This window comes from Homo sapiens, chromosome 16 (genome assembly GCF_000001405.40).
Source record: "Homo sapiens chromosome 16, GRCh38.p14 Primary Assembly".
Classification (NCBI taxonomy): domain Eukaryota; kingdom Metazoa; phylum Chordata; class Mammalia; order Primates; family Hominidae; genus Homo; species Homo sapiens.
Genome location: NC_000016.10, coordinates 67,330,235 through 67,348,591, shown reverse-complemented (window position 1 = coordinate 67,348,591; position 18,357 = coordinate 67,330,235). Strand labels below are relative to the sequence as shown.

Sequence of the window (18,357 nt, the reverse complement as noted above, 5' to 3'; positions counted from 1 at the left end):
GCTACACAGGAGGCTGAGGCAGCAGAATCACTTGAACCCGGGAGGTGGAGGTTGTAGTGAGCCAAGATCGCACCACTGCACTCCAGCCTGGGTGACAGAGCAAGACTCCGTCTCAAAAAGAAAAAAAAAAAGGATATTTACCAGAATATAATGAATGTTTCTTTCTGAATGGTAGGATTATGAATTACTTATTTTATCCCTTGTGTTTTTTTCTGTACTTTCCAAATTCTCAACAATAAGCATGTATTACCTTTGTCATCAGAAAAAATGCTGATATTATCTATATGTGTCTATAGTACAAGGATATCTGGAAGGATATATACCAAACATTACTAATAGTTAACTCTCAATTGTAGGATATGAAGTGATTTTGACTTTTTTCAGTGTACTTTTCTGTATTATTAAAATTGTAATGGACTGCTATCTATTTTTAAAAAATAATAAAACTACTTTTTAAAAAGCATAGGTTTGGGGGTAGAAGATAATGGTAACTTCTTTTGATAGGATTTTAGTAATGGACAAAGCTACCATTCAGAAATTTTAGAGCCTCAATGTTTGTTCACTTTTTGTTTCGAAGAGAAATGCTTCTCTTCCCTTCCTTTAACAAATTTATCTCTAACAATCTTGCCCATGGTAATGTAATCCTAATTCAATAGGACAAGATCAGGAACTGATTGATAACTCTACTGAGAAAGAGTTGGTAAGCATTTATAGGAATAAGTAATCTCATAGTATCCCTATCTATAACCTGTGAACAACAACTTTAGAGAATTTCTAACAATTATACCCAAAGTTCAAGAAAACAGGAATGTACCCACTGAGGGCCAGATTATCATCCCAGATAAATCTCAGTTTGCAGAATAAATACTTTTATTCCTGATCTGAGGATTCTTACAATTTGTGGGAAATTTCTGCTGGAAAATGAAGAAAGCTAAGCAGGAATTCACTATTTCCTATGTCCAGAACCAAACTTTAAAAATTTTGTAAAGAATCTTCTTACCTTTTTTCCACCTCTAAAAGAAAATTTTCACTGTTGCCCAACTGACTAAAATGCAGCTTGGCAGCTTTTCTCTCACCTTCACGTACAGTTCGGTCATCTGGAGGCAAAAACCGTGGTCTGAGCATGTTTCTTTTTTTGGCATAGACATAACTAGTAGTTAATCAGAAAACCATATTCGCAGAGGAAAAATTAGGACCAGTCTCATCTTGGTGTGTTAGAGACAGGTCACAAAATAATGCTATTATGTTGTCACTGGAGCAGGCAGGAACTCAGGGAGACTGCAGGAAGCCATAGCGACCACTGCCTCACAGTTGTAACTACCCTTCAGGAAAGCAGAGCTTGGACAGTAAACAATTCAAAGGCCTAATGTTAGGGCTGAAAGTCATACCATTGTCTGAAAGAGTTTACTTAGTTTCCCTACAATTACTTTCCCAGGGCCATGTGAAATCCAATTTTGTATCAATAAGAAATGTATACTCAACAATAAAATTATAAGGAAGTCCAGTCTGGGCAACATGATGAAACCCCATCTCTACAAAAAACACAAAAATTAGCTGGGTGTGGTGGTGCGTGCCTGTAGTTCCAGCTACTTGGGAGACTGAGATGTGAGAATTGCTTGAGCCTGGGAGGTCCAGGCGGCAGTGAGCCAAGATCGTGCCACTGCACTCCAGCCTGGGCAACAGAGTGAGACCCTGTCTCAAAATAAATAAATAAATAAAAAATAAAGTAAAATAATAAGAAAATATAGACCAGCTCATTTGAAGGAATATTTCTTCAACTAAGCCCCCAACTAAGCCCCCAAATAAATTGTATTAGCTTTCTATTGCTAATACAGTTGCAAAGTTGGGGCACCTGGAAAAATAATTCTCAACCTGGAAATTTTGTGTTGAGGAGGAAGGGGCGGTGAAACCATCAACTGAAGAAAACTAAAGCTGGAAGTAACTAATAAAATCATAGACTGTCATTCAATAAACAATAAAAGAACTCGTCATACATCCTGCCAACACAAAAGAGTTACATAAATATTGACTAATAAACAAATATATCCTGCCAGTGCACACTGTGGGCCAACATCCAAAAGGTTAAGGGGCAGCTGATTTAAAGTAAGATTCTGTGGACAGGAACAGAGAAGGAAGGTCTTACCTAATTTCTCCAGAGTTTGTAGTGTATATACAGCAAAGAGCCTATAATCTGTATCTTTCCTTACAACAGGATTAAGTCTCAAATCCAGTTCTTTGAGGAAGGGTAACGGTTGTAGACGGGACACTTCCACTAATGAAGGAATGTTGTTATAATATAAATTCAGGTCTTGGAGTGAACATAAATACTGGATTCCCTACAAGGAAAACACCACATTATGAAATGGCATATTGGTAAAGACTAGGAACCTCATAGATAAAGATGGAAATATATGTTACTTTCCGTCCTTAAACATGTTATCCAAGTCCCCGTGAGAAAGGCAGGGCTGGAACTCTCACTTAACTTGTCCGAAAATAAGACCACTGCAGTCCATGAGCACTGGGTGTTCCATACGTTAAATAATTCACATATATAATACATTTCCTTCTTTACAAAATCTGACACTCAAATATCTGCAGTCAATTCTCCACTTCTGTTGGCTCTCCAATTATTCTCCCAATGCAATCCAATCCTTCACAGTGGTTTCCCAGTGGCCAAGCCACATTAGAATTCTCTCACTTTTGTCCCAACCCCTCTCCTGATCCCAAAAGCACCTTAATTTACAAGAAGAAGGGAGGTAAGCAAAAAAGCTGGTTCTGGGGGAAAGGGGCATGGTTAAAAAAAAAAAAGTGTGTGTGTGTGTATGTGTGTGTGTGTTGTGTTGTGTTCTCATATCTCAGTGCCTCACTTATATGGTCAAAGGACTATTTAGGGAAACAAAACAATGCTATCTCCAAGTCCTCACTCCTGGACCAGTCTAGGCCTCCTAGACTGTTTTCCTCTTCAGAGTTCCTGCTACCACGCAAGCTTCCCATTTAATCAATCAGTCAGTTCTCCTTTGCAGAAATGTTCTTCCTTGTTCAGTTCTCTTTCTTGTGGATTTAGCAACCCCACCCTCTACCTAACTGGCAACAGTACAATCAGGCCTGGCAAACTCAAGAGGAAAAGCCACAGTTTTCTTCCTCTGCTGAAACCTGCTATTGAAAAGATTTCATCTTTATGTATTTAGCTAGTTAGCTGCTTTTGCCCAATACTAAATTTCAGGACAATTTCAAAACATGTACATATGTATAATCGCATACTTTTTTTTTTTTTTTTTGAGACAGGGTATCACTCTATCGCCCAGGCTGGAGTGCAGTGGTACGATCAGAGCTCACTGCAGCCCTGACTTCCTGGGCTCAAGTGATGCTCTCGCCTCAGCCCCTGAGTAGCTGGGAATACAGGCATGTGGCACCACACCTGGCTAACTATTTTTTGATTTTTAGTAGAGACAATGTCTCACTATGTTGCCCAGGCTGGTCTTGAACTCCTGAGCTCAAGCAATTATCCTGCCTTGGCCTCCCAAAGTGTTGGGATTACAGGCATGAGCCACTGTGCCTGGTTAATCATATACTTTTAATAGTACAAATGCAAAAAAAAAAATAGTAAAAATGCTTTCCATAAAAGGAATTCTGTCATTGAGAATTATTTTGGAAAGGTGAAATTATTTTCCATCATGTATTTATAAAATAATGTTTTTATTCTCCTCCCATTTAAAATTATCATTTTCTCATTGCAAGAAATTTAGAAAACCCAAAGATAGATACAAAACATTCCCAACACAACCCTGTTTATACTTTGATGCATTTCTTTCTGTTTTGTATTTGTTTTTTTTGTTGTTGTTGTTTTCTCCAATTCCATTAACTTCCATATTGTTAATGGGTCAGTGGTGAGGAATAGCTATCAGTGCCCTTGGCCTCACTCTCAGGGCAGTGCACCATTAGGACTGTCTTTCATGGTCTAATGGCCCAGCTCAAGTTTTTTTGTTTTTTGGTTTTTTCTGAGAGGATCTTGCTCTGTCACCCAGGCTGGAGTGTAGTGGCATGAACAAGGCTCACTGCAGCCTTGAACTCCTAGGGCAAGGGATCCTCCTGCTTCAGCCTCCCAAATAGCTGGGATTATAGGCACGCACCAACAACTATGGTTTTTGTTTGTTTGTTTGTTTCTGTTTTGTAGAGACAGGGTCTTGCTTTATTGCTCAAGCTAGTCTCAAACTCCTTGCCTCAAGTGATCCTCCTGCCTCAGCCTCCCAAAGTGCTGGGATTACAGACATAAACCACCACACCTGGCTTAAGTAATCTTTTAATGTCTCTCAGTGTAAAAATTAAGGAAACTCTTATCCTCTCACTTTTACCAGTTGTCATGAATTTATGTATTCCCCAAAGTTACGCTACAAATAATCACAAAACATTTTCTCCCAGGAAAATTAAACAAAGGGATTCAGAACTGTTAAAGATTAATATAAAATCACAGATGTGGCTGGGCATGGTGGCTCATGCCTCTAATCCCAGCACTTTGGGAGGCTGAGGTGGGCAGATCACCTGAGGTCAGGAGTTTGAGACCAACCTGGCTAACATGGTGAAACCCTGTCTTTACTAAAAATACAAAAATTAGCTGGGTGTGGTGGTGGGTGCCTGTAATCTCAGCTACTCAGGAGGCTGAGTCAGGAGAATCTCCTGAACCTGGGAGGCGGAGGTTGCAGTGAGCCAAGATCACACTACTGCACTCCAACCTGGACGACAGAGTGAGACTCTGTCTCAAAAAAAATAAATAAAAATCATAGATGCAAAAAATATAGAAAACTAACATTACTGAGTGCTTCCTATATGCCAAGCACTGTACCAGGAGTCTTATATATGTTCTATTTGATTACACGTGTTAACTTGATTTTTTTTTTTTTTGAGATGGTCTCACTCTTTTGCCCAGGCTGGAGTGTAGTGGTGCGATCTAGGCTCACTGCAACCTCTGCCTCCCAGGTTCAAGCAATTCTCCTCCTTCAGCCTCCCAAGTAGCTGGGACTACAGGCGCCTGCCACCACGCCTGGCTAATTTTTGTATTTTTAGTAGAGACGGGGTTTCACCATGTTGGCCAAGCTGGTCTCGAACTCCTGACTTCGGGATCCACCCACCTTGGCCTCCCAAAGTGCTGAGATTACAGGCATGAGCCACCGTGACCAGACAACTTGATTTTTTAAAATAGAGATAGGGGTCTCACTATGTTGCTCAGGCTGGTCTTGAACTCCTGGGCTCAAGCAATCTGCCTGCCTCAGCCTTCCGAAGCGCTGCATTATAGGTGTGAGTCACCGTGCCCAGCCCTAATTTGATTATTTTCCTAAGTTTTTCACCCAGTTTACCGAAGTGAAAGAAAGGAAGTATAAAAACAAATTACAGCAATGTTCACTTAATTTTTTAGCCAGAAAAAGAATAAACAAACAAAAGAGGAGACCTAAGCAACTCTGAACTAATACTTTCTTTTTATATTTTATCTTTTCATTTTTTAAATTGGATCCTATCACCTGTGAAAGAACTAATCCTTTCTGAAACTGATAGGCCAAATATAAATGGCTGCTAAAAAATAGTCTAAAGACCTAGTTGAACTTGGAGTTGCTGATTTTAGAGTCCTAGATGGAAATTTGATCTTAGGGCTTTTGATCTTTTAGGCCCTTAGCTAAACCTTGGGATTGGGTCTGGATGTGTTGTTGAACAAATATCCCCTAGGAAGTGCAAAACTGGTAGATGACCCAGAAGATCAGTAACTAATCCTGGATAGCATCTGTGAGTCTTTGTCACGCTCGATCTTGCATAGAAGGGCTTTGCCAAGACAGGTGCAGAGCTTGGGCAAAATGGGAACATGAGGAAGAAGCAGTATTTGGGGGTCTACCACAAAGAAAACAAAACTCCATCTCTGTGTGTGCACACTCATGTTTGTAGAGTTCTTTGTGCGTGTTTGCTAATCCACACGCACACTGTTCATGCTTGGTCCCTCCTGCCTTCCTATACTGCCCTCTGCTCCATCATCCCCTGACTTAAATTTTCCCAAGACCACACCTTCCTTCTCCTCATAGAAAAAACTCACAATAACAACACAGGCCAGTGTTTCTCCATGTATGCTCCATGTACCACCATCATCAGAATCCCCTGAGTATGTCCTGAGCCTACCCTAGACCTACTAAATCAGACCAACTCTCACAGTAGGGACTGAGAATCTGTACTTCTACAAGTGTTCTTCATAATTTTTTATACACACTAAAATTTATGCATTTGCCCTAGACAGTGATATCTTAATATAGTTTTCCGAGAGTATAAAATAAATTGCCCTCCCAATATTTTATAACAATTTAAAATATACTGCAAAGTTGAAAGAATTTTATAAGAAATAATTAAATTTAGTTGGGAATCATTTAAAGGGAAGGTCTTATATTCCCCAGGATGACATGATCTATCTCTTATTTCTTCCCATCAAAAAAATAAATTGGGCAGACCTGGCTGGTCATAGAATATATAACTTACCTTAAGGCTAGTGATCAAATTCCTTGATAAATCTAAGGATCGGAGATTTTTAAAATTTCTGAAGGCATCACCAATGGAATGGATTTTGCCAGCATAAGATCCCTGCAATGAAAGAGACTCCACCAGTTCTGAAAAGAGATCATCAGTAGATATATTATGATCCCTGCTCGGATCAACAGCAGAGTCAGTGAAAGTAGGCCTTTCTTCCTCCCATATCTCAACTGTGCAAGGCCCTACATCCAAGCCTCATAAGATCAGATCTTCTTTTTAAAAGCAGCAGTATGGTCTAATATAGTGACATTGAACCTTAGTTTTATAGAGCCCTTGAGTTTTTCTAATTTCCCTGAAGGATGTACTAAAAGTCTCCAAAAGTTCTCAAAACAAAATTTCAAAAGATATTCAGCAACCCCACTGCTAGGATTTAGCCCTATGGATAATAACCACAAAATTTTGGCAGGTTATATAAAATATAGCACAAGGATGTCAATTTCAGAGCGGTTTTAAGATAGTAAAAAAAATTAAAAAGAAAGAAATAGAAAACTGTCAAAGGTCCATCAGCAGAAAAATAGAGCCAGACAGCCTAAATAATAGTACATTGATACGAAAGACAATATACTACATCTGCGACCTTGTTCAAGTCACTTAACCTCTTTGTGCATCAGTTTCCTCATCTGTAAAATGGGGGTAACAATGGTACTCAATTCATAAGGTGTTACAAGAATTAAATTAATGCATATGTACAAAACATATATATAGACTATATATAGTCTATAGTCTATAGTCTATAGACTGTCTATAGACTATAGATAGGCTATAGTATATATAGAATATATATAATTATATATAATTATATATATTAAATTATATATTAAATGACATATATTAAATCTATATATAGAATATGTAGAGTACATATTCTATAGAATATGTAGAGTACATATTCTATAGAATATGTAGAGTACATATTCTATAGAATATGTAGAGTACATATTCTATAGAATATGTAGAGTACATATTCTATAGAATATGTAGAGTACATATTCTATAGAATATGTAGAGTACATATTCTATAGAATACATATTCTATATATAATATACATATTCTATATTCTATAGAATATATGTAGTACATATTCTATATTCTATAGAGTATATGTAGTACATATTCTATATTCTATAGAGTATATGTAGTATATATTCTATAGAGTATATGTAGTATATATTCTATAGAGTATATGTGGTATATATTCTATAGAGTATATGTGGTATATATTCTATAGAGTATATGTGGTATATATTCTATAGAGTATATGTGGTATATATTCTATAGAGTATATGTGGTATATATTCTATAGAGTATATATATAGAATATACATATATGAGAAGAAGTAGATAAAAGTCAACTAGACTTTTTTTTCTATTTTTTTTGAGATGGAGTCTTGCTCTTTCGCCCAAGCTGGAGTGCAGTGGTGTGATCTCAGCTCACTGCAACCTCCACCTCCCAAGTTCAAGAGATTCTCCTGCCTCAGCCTCCCAAGTAGCTGGGAACACAGGTGTGCACCACCACACCCGGCTAATTTTTTGTATTTTAGGTAGAAACGGGGTTTTGCCAAGCTGCTCTTGAACTCCTGACCTCAGGTGATCCACCAGTCTCAGCCTCAGCCTCCCAAAGTGCTGGGATTACAGGCATGAGCCACTGAGCCTGGGCATCAACTAGACTATTAACAGTCCTGAAAAGGGGAGAATCTCAAAATTGTCAGTAAGAACTCACTGGCAAGGGTGGTAGGCCAAACTGCGAATAGCAACCAAAACTGGAAGAGAGTTCTACAGAATCCAGTTTGCAGATAAGTGCCAGGAGACTGCATTGAAATAAGATCTTAAGTTGCTAGAGCAGTCTGGGTCCCATAAACTTTATTTTATTTTATTATTTATTTATTTATTGAGATGGAATCTCACTCTTGTCACCCAGGCTGGAGTGCAATGGTGCGATCTTGGCTCACTGCAACCTCCATCTCCTGGGTTCAAGTGATTCTCCTGCCTCAGCCTCCCAAGTAGGTGGGATTAAGGTGTGTGCCACTATGCCTGGCTAATTTTTGTACTTTCAGTAGAGACGGGGTTTCACCATGTTACCCAGGCTGGTCTCAAACTCCTGACCTCAGGTGATCCACCTGACTTGGCCTCCCAAAGTGGTGGGATTACAGGCGTCAGCCACCGTGCCTGGCCCCCATAAGCTTTAAATAGTCATAAACCAAAGATCCCTTTCAGGACAAGACCCATACCACGGAGAAATTAGTGGGAGTAGAATCTACACTGAATGGAACAGGGACATAGATGCAAAGGAAATAAAAGGTCCAGATATGAATAGGGGAGGGAAGCAGAATGGACGGATCTCAGGAAGCATGTCATGTTTTACACTACTCTGTGAACACAACAGAAGAGGGAGCTCCAAAACCTTGAAACTAAAAAAGCTATTCTGGCCCACCTTTCCCACCTAAGTGTAAGAAAACTTAACTGCACTTAAAGAGCCACAGAAAAGGATTATAGTCAAATCTTATATGAGGTTATTATTTTTTTAAAAGGAGCAGAATAATACCCCTAAAATTAAAAGCACTCCAGAAAGATACATCCACAAATGAAAACTGTAACTTAATATTTCAAAACAAGTTTAAAAACATCATAGCAATGTAGCAGCTCTCAAAGTATGGTCCCTAAACCCCTGGAGGTCCCTGAGACATGTACAGGGGTCCACAAAGTTAAAACTACTTTTAAAGAATTATTTTCATAATAATATGAAGACACTAATTGCCTTTTTTTTTTTTTTTTTACAGTATTAACATTTACACTTATGGTGCAAGAGCAAAAGCTACTGGCACCTTGAGAATGAATCATGGCTGGGTGCAGTGGCTCATGTCTGTAATCCCAACACTTTGGGAGGCTGAGGTGGGCGGATCACTTGAGGTCAGGAGTTCGAGACCAGCCTGGCCAACATGGTGAAACCACGTCTCTACCAAAAATACAAAAATTAGCGAGGCATGGTGGCACATGCCTGTGATCCCAGCTACTCAGGAGGCTGAGGCAGAAGAATTGCTTCAGCCCAGGAGACAGGGGTTGCAGTGAGCCAAGATCGCATCACTGCACTCCAGCCTGGGCAACAGAGCGAGACTCTGTCCCTAAAAAAAAAAAAAAAAAAAAAAAAAAAAAAAAAAAAAAAAAAAAAATTCAGCTTCCAAGCAGAAATTAGAAATTTGAAAAGCTTGTATCTGCCACCATGAACCTGATGGCTTCTCAACACTTAAAAGGTTTTTCAAATGACATTGATGATGATATTAACAAACATGATTTTTAAACATTATATAATGAAATTTGTCAATATTTGGAAGATCTACATAACTTAGTGAGTCAATATTTTTCAAATGACCAATGTGTAACGTTACAAAATCATGCATGGGTAAAAGATTCATCCATATGTAAGATATACCAATAGATTCTGAAGTAACAGTACAAAAATTTCATTGATGTTGTTTCAGATTCCACATTCAACTAAACTTTAAGAAACTACCACTTGTCCTGTTTTCATATTGTATCAAAGAAGAATATAAAAAATTTGATGAAAGACTATTAAAATATTCCTTCCTTTTCCAATTACATTTCTGTATGAGGCCAGACTTTTTCACATATTTCAAGTAAAACAATATATCATAACAAATTAAATACAGAAGCAGGTATGAGAATCTAGCTGTCTTCTTTTAAACAAAACATTAAGGAGGTTTGCAAGAATATAAATCAGTGATACTTTCCTCACTATTTTTTTATTTTAGGAAATAGTTATTTTTCATAGAAATATTTATATTAACATAATGTCTATGTTATGGTTACCTATTAATAAATTAATAAATATTTTAAATTTTTCTCAGTTTTAATTTCTGTATGGTAGATATTAGTAGATATAGTCCACATTAACAAAAGCTCTTTGAGGTCCTCAATAATTTTTTTTTTTTTGAGATGGAGTTTCATTCTTGTTTCCCAGGCTGGACTGCAATGGTGCCATCTCAGCTCATCACAACCTCTGCCTCCTGGGTTCAGGCGATTCTCCTGCCTCAGCCTCCCAAGTAGCTGGGATTACAGGCATACGCCACCACACCCAGCTAATTTGTATTTTTAGTAGAGATGGAGTTTCTCCATGTTGGGCAGGCTGGTCTCAAACTCCCGACCTCAGGTGACCCGCCTGCCTCGGCGTTCCAAAGTGCTGGGAACCACCACGCCCAGCCCTCAATAATTTTTTAAGGTGTAAAGGGATCTTGAGACCCAAAAATGTGGAAATTAACTGAAAAATGTAAATTAGAATAGACAAATTCAGAAAGATGATTAGAAAAGAAAAAAAATTGAATACAGAGAAGACAGAATTCAAGAAATAATAAAAATTAGGCCGAGTGTGGTGGCTCACGCCTGTAATCCCAGCACTTTGGAAGGCCGAGGTGGGCAGATCACCTGAGGCCAGGAGTTTGAGACCAGACTGACCAACATGGCAAAACCCTGTCTCTACTAAAAATACAAAAAAATTATCTTGGCCTAGTGGCACACGCCTGTAATCCCAGCTACTCAGAAGGCTGAGGCAAGAGAATCACTTGAATCCAGGAGGTGGGGGCTGCAGTCGCACCATTGCACTCCAGCCTGGGCAACAAGAGTGAAACTCCTTCTCAAAAAAAAAAAAAAGAAAGAAAAGAAAAATAAAAGAAAGAAATAATAAAAATTAAAACGTCATTTTTGAAATGAAGACCAAATAATGAAAATAAGAGCACAAAAGAACAATAGAATAACTCCACTTCTGGGTATATATCCAAAAGAATTGAAAGCAAGGACCTGAACAGTATTTGTACACCAACATCCATAGCAGCATTATTCAAAATATCCAAAAGATGGAAACAACCCAAATGCCCATCAACAGATGAATGAATAAACAAAAATGTGGTATATCCACAAGAAGGACTATCACTCAGCCATAAAAAGGAATGATGGGCCTGGCATGGTGGCTCAAGTCTGTAATCCCAGCACTTTGGGAGGCCAAGGCAGGCAGATCATTTGAGGCCAGGAGTTTGAGACAAGCCTGGGCAACATAGTAGGACCCTGTCTCTACAAAAAATTAAAAAAATTAGCCGGGTGTGGTGGCACAGCCCAGTAGTCCTAGCTACTTGGTAGGCTGAAGTGGGAGGATCACTTGAAACCAAGAATTCCAGGCTACAGTGAGTCATGATGGCACCACTGCACTCCAACCTAGGCAACAAAGTAAGATTACCCTATTTCCATAAAAAAAAAAAAAGTAGGCAAAAGAAAAACTGGATGCAGTGGCACATACCTGTAGTCTCAGTTACTGGGGAGGCTGAGACAGGATTGCTTGAGTCCAGAAGTTCAAGTCCAGCCTGGGCAACATAGCAAGAACCTGTCTCTAAAAAGCAATAAAAATAAACCCCAAACCAGACACTCCACTAAACAAACATATGAAAAAAATGGTCAACATCATAAATCGTTAGGAAATTACAAATTAAAATGAGATACCACTATAAATTTGTTAGAATGGCCCAAATCTTAAAACTTTCACAATGCTAAATGTTGGTGAGGATGTGGGGCAAAAGGAACTCTCATTCATTGGGGGTGGGAATACAAAATGGTGAAGCCACCTGAGAAGACAACTTGGCAGTTTCTTGCAAAGCTAAACACAAGTAAATCCCTTGGTATTTACTCAAGCAAGTTGAAACTTTATGTCCACACCCAAACCTGCACATGAATGTTTACAGCAGCTTTCTTCATAATTACCAAAACTTGGGAGCAACCAAGATGTCCTTCAATAGGTAAATGGATAAGCAAACAATGGTACATCCACAGAGTGTAATACTATTCAGCAATAAAAAGAAATGGGCTATTAACCACGGAAAGACATGGAGGAGCCTTAAATACATATTGCTAAGTGAGAGAAATCAGTTTGAAAGGTTACATACTATATGATTCCAACTATATGACATTCTGAAAAAGGCAACAATAAAAAGACCAGTGGTTGGGCCGGGTGCGGTGGCTCACGCCTGTAATCCCAACACTTTGGGAGACCGAGACGGGCGGATCACCTGAGGCTGGGGGTTTGAGACCAGCCTGACCAACCTGGAGAAACCCTGTCTCTACTAAAAATACAAAATTAGCTGGGCGTAGTGGCACATGCCCGTAATCCCAGCTACTCGGGAGGCTGAGGCAGGAGAATCGCTTGAACCCGGGAGGTGGAGGCTGCCGTGAGCCAAGATCGTGCCACTGCATTCCAGCCTGGGCAACAACAGCGAAAGTCTGTCTCAAAAAAAAAAAAAAAGATCAGTGGTTGTCTGTTGCGGGAAGTCAGGGACCCCAAACAGAGGGACCAGCTGAAGCCATGGCAGAAGAACATAAATTGTGAAGGTTTCATGGACACTTATCACTTCCCCAATCAATACTCTTGTGATTTCCTATGCCTGTCTTTACTTTAATCTCTTAATTCCGTCATCTTCGTAAACTGAGGAGGATGTATGTTGCCTCAGGACCCTGTGATGATTGCATTAACTGCACAAATTGTTTGTAGAGCATGTGTGTTTGAACAATATGAAATCTGGGCACCTTGAAAAAAGAACAGGATAACAGCAATGTTCAGGGAACAAGAGAGATAACCTTTAAACTCTGATTGCCGGTGAGCCAGGTGGAACAGAGCCATATTTCTCTTCTTTCAAAAGCAAACAGGAGAAATATCGCTGAATTCTTTTTCTCAGCAAGGAACATCCCTGAGAAAGAGAATGCATCCCTGAAGGGAGGCCTCTAAAATGGCTGCTTTGGGGGCAGATGTCTTTTATGGTCACAGCTGTAGGATGAAATAAGCCCCGGTCTCCCGTAGTGCTCCCAGGCTTATTAGGACGAGGAAATTCCCACCTAATAAATTTTGGTCAGACCAGTTGTCTGCTCTCAAATCCTGTTTCCTGATAAGATGTTATCAATGACAATGCGTGCCTGAAACTTCATTAGCAATTTTAATTTCACCCCGGTCCTGTGGTCCTGTGATCTCGCCCTGCCTCCATTTACCTTGTGATATCTTATTACCTTGTGAAGCATGTGATCTATGTGACCCACCCCCTATTCGTACACTCCCTCCCCTTTTGAAAATCACTAATAAAAACTTGCTGGTTTTATGGCTCAGGGGGCATCACGGAACCTGCTGACATGTGATGTCTCCCCCAGACACCCAGCTTTAAAATTTCTCTCTTTTGTACTCTGTCCCTTTATTTCTCAGGCCGGCCGACACTTAGGGAAAATAGAAAAGAGCCTACGTGAAATATCGGGGGTGAATTTCACCTGATAGTTGTCAGGGGTTTGGGGTGAGGGAGGGATAAACAGATGGTGGGGCACAGGGGATTTTTAGGTTAGTAAAACTGTTATTATAATGGTGGACACGACTGGCCAGGCACGCTGGCTCATGCCTGTAATCCCAGCACTTTGGGAGGTTGGGGCAGGCAGATCACCTGAGGTTGGGAGTTCGAGACCAGCCTGGCCAACATGGTGAAACCCCGTCTCTACTAAAAATACAAAAATCAGCCAGGCATGGTGGCACACGCCTGCAGTCCCAGCTACTTGGGAGGCTGAGGCATGAGAATCACTTGAACCCAGGAGGCGGAGGTTGCTGTGAGCCGAGATCGTGCCACTGCATTCCAGCCTGGGCAACAGAACAAGACTCTGCCTCAAAAAATAAAAAATAATGGTGGACGGCCAGGCGCGGTGGCTCACGCCTGTAATCCCAGCACTTTGGGAAGCCGAGGCGGGCGGATCACGAGGTCAGGAGATCGAGACCATGGTGAAACCCGGTCTCTACTAAAAATATGAAAAATTAGCCGGGCACAGTGGCAGGCACCTGTAGTCCCAGCTACTCGGGAGGCTGAGGCAGGAGAATGGTGTGAATCTGGGAGACAGAGCTTGCGGTGAGCCGAGATCCACGCCACTGCACTCCAGCCTGGGCAACAGAGTGAGACTCCATCTCAAAAAAATAAATAAATAAAAATAATAATAATAATGGTGGACACGACATAATTGTCAAAAACCATAGAACTGTACAACACAAAAAATGAGCTCTAATGTAAACTATGGACTTTAGTTAATAATCGCATCAATATTGGTTCATAAATTGTAATATATCACAATAATGCAAGATATTAAAATTAAGGGAAACGGGGTGGGTGGGGAGAGGTGCAAGGAAGGTAAGCGTATATGAGAACTCTCTGTACTTTATGCCCAATTTCTCTGTAAACCTAAAACTGCTCTAAAAAATAAAGTCTATTAATTTTTTTAAAAAAGGAATGAAGTATTAATACATGCTAAAACATGAATGAATAATGAAAATACTATGCTAAGTCAAAGAAGCCAGACAGAAAAGGCTACATATTATATGATTCCAATGATATGAAATACCCAGAAGAGGCAAATCCACAGAGACAGAAAGCAGTTTACTGGTTGCCAGGAGCCAGGGGTAGTGGGAAATGAGGTGTGACTGCCTAATGGGTTGATGAAAATGTTCTGGAACTATATATAGGTAGCAATGATGCTTGCACAACATTGTAAATGTACAAAATGACCCTGAATTGTATATTTTTTAAATGGGGCTACGTGTGGTGGCTCATGCCTGTAATTTCAGCACTTTGGGAGGCGGAGGCAGGTGGATCACTTGAAGTCAGGAGTTCAAGACCAGCCTGGCCAACATGGTGAAACCCTGTCTCTACTAAAAACACAAAAATTAGCAGGGTATGGTGGGACGTGCCTGCAGTCCCACCTACTCAGGATGCTGAGGCAGGAGAATCACTTGAACCTGGGATAGAGGTTGCAGTGAGCTGAGGTCGGGCCACTGCACTGCAGCCTGGGCAATAGGGCAAGATTCTTATCTCAAAATAAATAAATAAATACTAAAACGGTGAACTTTATAGTATGTGAATTATATCTTTTTAAAATGCACCCATCTCTACAAAAAAAGAAAAAATTAGCTGGGCATGGTGGTGCACACCTGTAGTCCCAGCTACTCAGTAGGCAGAGTCAGGAGGATTGCTTGAGCCCAGGAGGTCGGGACTGCAGTGAGCCATGATCATGCCACTGCACTCCAGCTTGGGCAACAGAATAAGACCATGTTTTTTTTAAAAAAAAATAAATAAATAAAATAAATAAATAAATAAAATTTTCCTGACTTTGAGGGCAGTGTATTGGTAATTCTGTGGTATGTTATGATCTAACACCCTGAGAGTCTGTTAACATGGGACAAAAGCTAAGGACAATTATGGTTTCCATCAATGACCCACAGCATTTCTCATGCCTTTCACTGCAGTCTATTTTGAAGAGCAGACATTTTAACATTTTAAGAAGGAATGTGAATTATTAAAATGATAAACTGCCACAAAGACAAACATTCTTTAATGATTCACATGAATGCATGTCTTAAGAGGTTATGCATTTCGTTTCAGTGTTTATTTATTTATTTATTATTTTTTTTTGAGACGGAGTCTCGCTCTGTCACCCAGGCTGGAGTGCAATGGCACCATCTTGGCACACTGCAAGCTCTGCCTCCCAGGTTCACGCCATTCTCCTGTCTCAGCCTCCCAAGTAGCTAGGACTACAGGCGCCCACCACCATGCCCAGCTAATTTTTTTGTATTTTTAGTAGAGACAGGGTTTCATCATGTTAGCCAGGGTTGTCTCGATCTCCTGACCTCGTGATTCGCCCTCCTCAGCCTCCCAAAGTGCTGGGATTACAGGCGTAAGCCACCGCGCCTGGCCGTTTCAGTGTTTATAAAGAGTGAAGACAAATCAGAGAACAAATCAAACACTGCACAGCATAGATGCCAAGAATAAAAGAATGATCTTCCAATTTTAATATATGGGTTACATAACCCCAGTGGGCAAAAATTTGCTATTTGAAAATAACAAATCAAGTAGTCTCTCTAATGAAAACCATTTACAGCTCATTTGGAAATTGAATTAACAACCTTTAACAAAGCTTATTTATAATGACAATGAATGTTTCTAATAAATAAAACTTTTTCTTTTTCTTTTTTTTTTTGAGATGGAGTTTCGCTCTCTTTGCCCAGGCTGGAGTGCAATGGTGTGATCTTGGCTTACTGCAACCTCCGCCTTCAGGGTTCAAGCGATTCTCCTGCCTCAGCCTCCCAAGTAGCTGGGATTACAGGCATGTGCCACCCCGCCCAGCTAATTTTTATATTTTTAGTAGAGATGGGGTTTCAACATGCTGGCCAGGCTGGTCTCAAACTCCCAACCTCAGGTGATCCACCCCCCTCGGCTTCCCAAAGTGCTGGGATTACAGGCGTGAGCCACTACACCTGGCCATAAAACTTTTTTAAAAAGACCTCAGGAGTCAACTTGAAAGATCACCTATTAACTAAAGTTAGGATAAACTGAACATCAATTATGATAAGAACTATAATGGATTAAAACTTACATTGAAATATATTGCTATGGTTTGAACGTCCCCTCCAAAACTCATGATGAAATGTATTAATTTATTCAGAGATAGGGCCTTGCTCTGTCAACTAGGCTGGAGGGCAGTAGCACTATCATAGTGCACTGCAGCCTAAAACTCCTGGGGTCAGAGGATCCTTCCACTTCAGCCTCCTGAGTAGCTGGGACTACAGGTACACACCACCAACACCCAGTTAATTTTTAAATTTTTTGTAGAGACAGGATCTTGCTGTGTTGCCCAGGCTGGTCTCAAATACCTGGCCTCATCCTCCTCCCTGGCCTTCCAAAGTGTGTAAGCCGCCATGCCCAGCTTTCATGTTGAAACGTAATTGCCAATGTAACAGCACTGCGAGGTGGGGCCTCTAAGAGGTGATTAGGTCAACGGTGGCTTCATGCTGTTATCATGGAGTTAGTTATCACGGGAGTTAGCTATCCTAATAAAGGAATTAGTTCAGTCTTCTCTCTCTCTCTCTCTCTCTCTCTCTCTCTCTCTCTCTCTCTCTTTCTCTCTCACATCTCACACATGCACCTTCTGCCCTTCCACCATGGAATGACCCTCACCAGATGTTGGCACCATGCTCTTGGACTTCTCAGCCTCCAGAACCATGAGCCAAATCAACTTCTGTTCTTTATAAATTACCTAGTCTATGGTATTCTGTTATGACAAGAGAAAAGGGACTAAGACATTTATTTATTTATTTATTTATTTAGACTGAGTCTCAGTCTTTCGTCCAGGCTGAAGTGCAGTGGTGCGATCTCAGTTCACTGCAACCTCTGCTTCCCAGGCTCAAGTGATTCTCCTGCCTCAGCCTCCTGAGTAGCTGGGATTATAGGCACCTGCCACCATGCCGGGCTAATTTTTTTTGTATTTTTAGTACAGATGAGGTTTCACCATGTTGGACAGACTGGTCTTGAACTCCTGACCTCAGGTGATCCATCCTCCTTGGCCTCCCAAAATGCTGGGATTACAGGCGTGAACGACCATGCCCAGCCCTAAGACATATATTTAAATCGATGAGTTTATAATGATACTGAGAAAGCAAAACAGTCCTCACTGGTCACCTTTGGAGAATGCTAAGAAAATAACTCATCATTCTGAAAGCTGGCATATAAGGTGAAAACAAATCAAGCTTTTATGCTGCCTTTCCTATACAAACTGTACCTCAGGATAAGCAAACAGTTGATGTGAGGAAATTTCTCTTTATAGAAGTATTACAGTTAATGAAGAAAAATGAAAGAAATAGACAATTACCATTTTGCAATCCCTAATGAATTAACTTAGGTAATCATATTCAGTGGCTGATATCACGAAAAGAAAGAACACTAGGCACCATATAC

The 18,357-nt window shown here is 40.2% G+C and overlaps 1 protein-coding gene across 16 annotated transcripts in view; it reads right to left on the bottom strand.

The window, feature by feature from the left end:
• The window catches only part of LRRC36 (leucine rich repeat containing 36), a 58,390-nt gene that overhangs the window by 36,613 nt on the left and 3,420 nt on the right, over positions 1–18,357 (bottom strand). For 12 of the 16 annotated variants that reach the window (NM_018296.6, XM_005256025.3, XM_005256027.3 and 9 more), the window contains exons 2-4: positions 6,508–6,635; positions 2,144–2,336; positions 1,001–1,097 (exon numbers count right to left, since the gene is read on the bottom strand). The exons of 1 other annotated variant lie outside the window; for it this stretch is intronic. In NM_018296.6, coding sequence (NP_060766.5) covers positions 1,001–1,097; positions 2,144–2,336; positions 6,508–6,635 — 418 coding nt within the window. Of the gene's footprint in view, positions 1–1,000; positions 1,230–2,143; positions 2,337–6,507; positions 6,636–18,357 lie in introns of those variants that run through there. 3 more of the 16 variants (NM_001161575.2, XM_047434332.1, XM_005256028.2) reach the window with 2 other exon arrangements.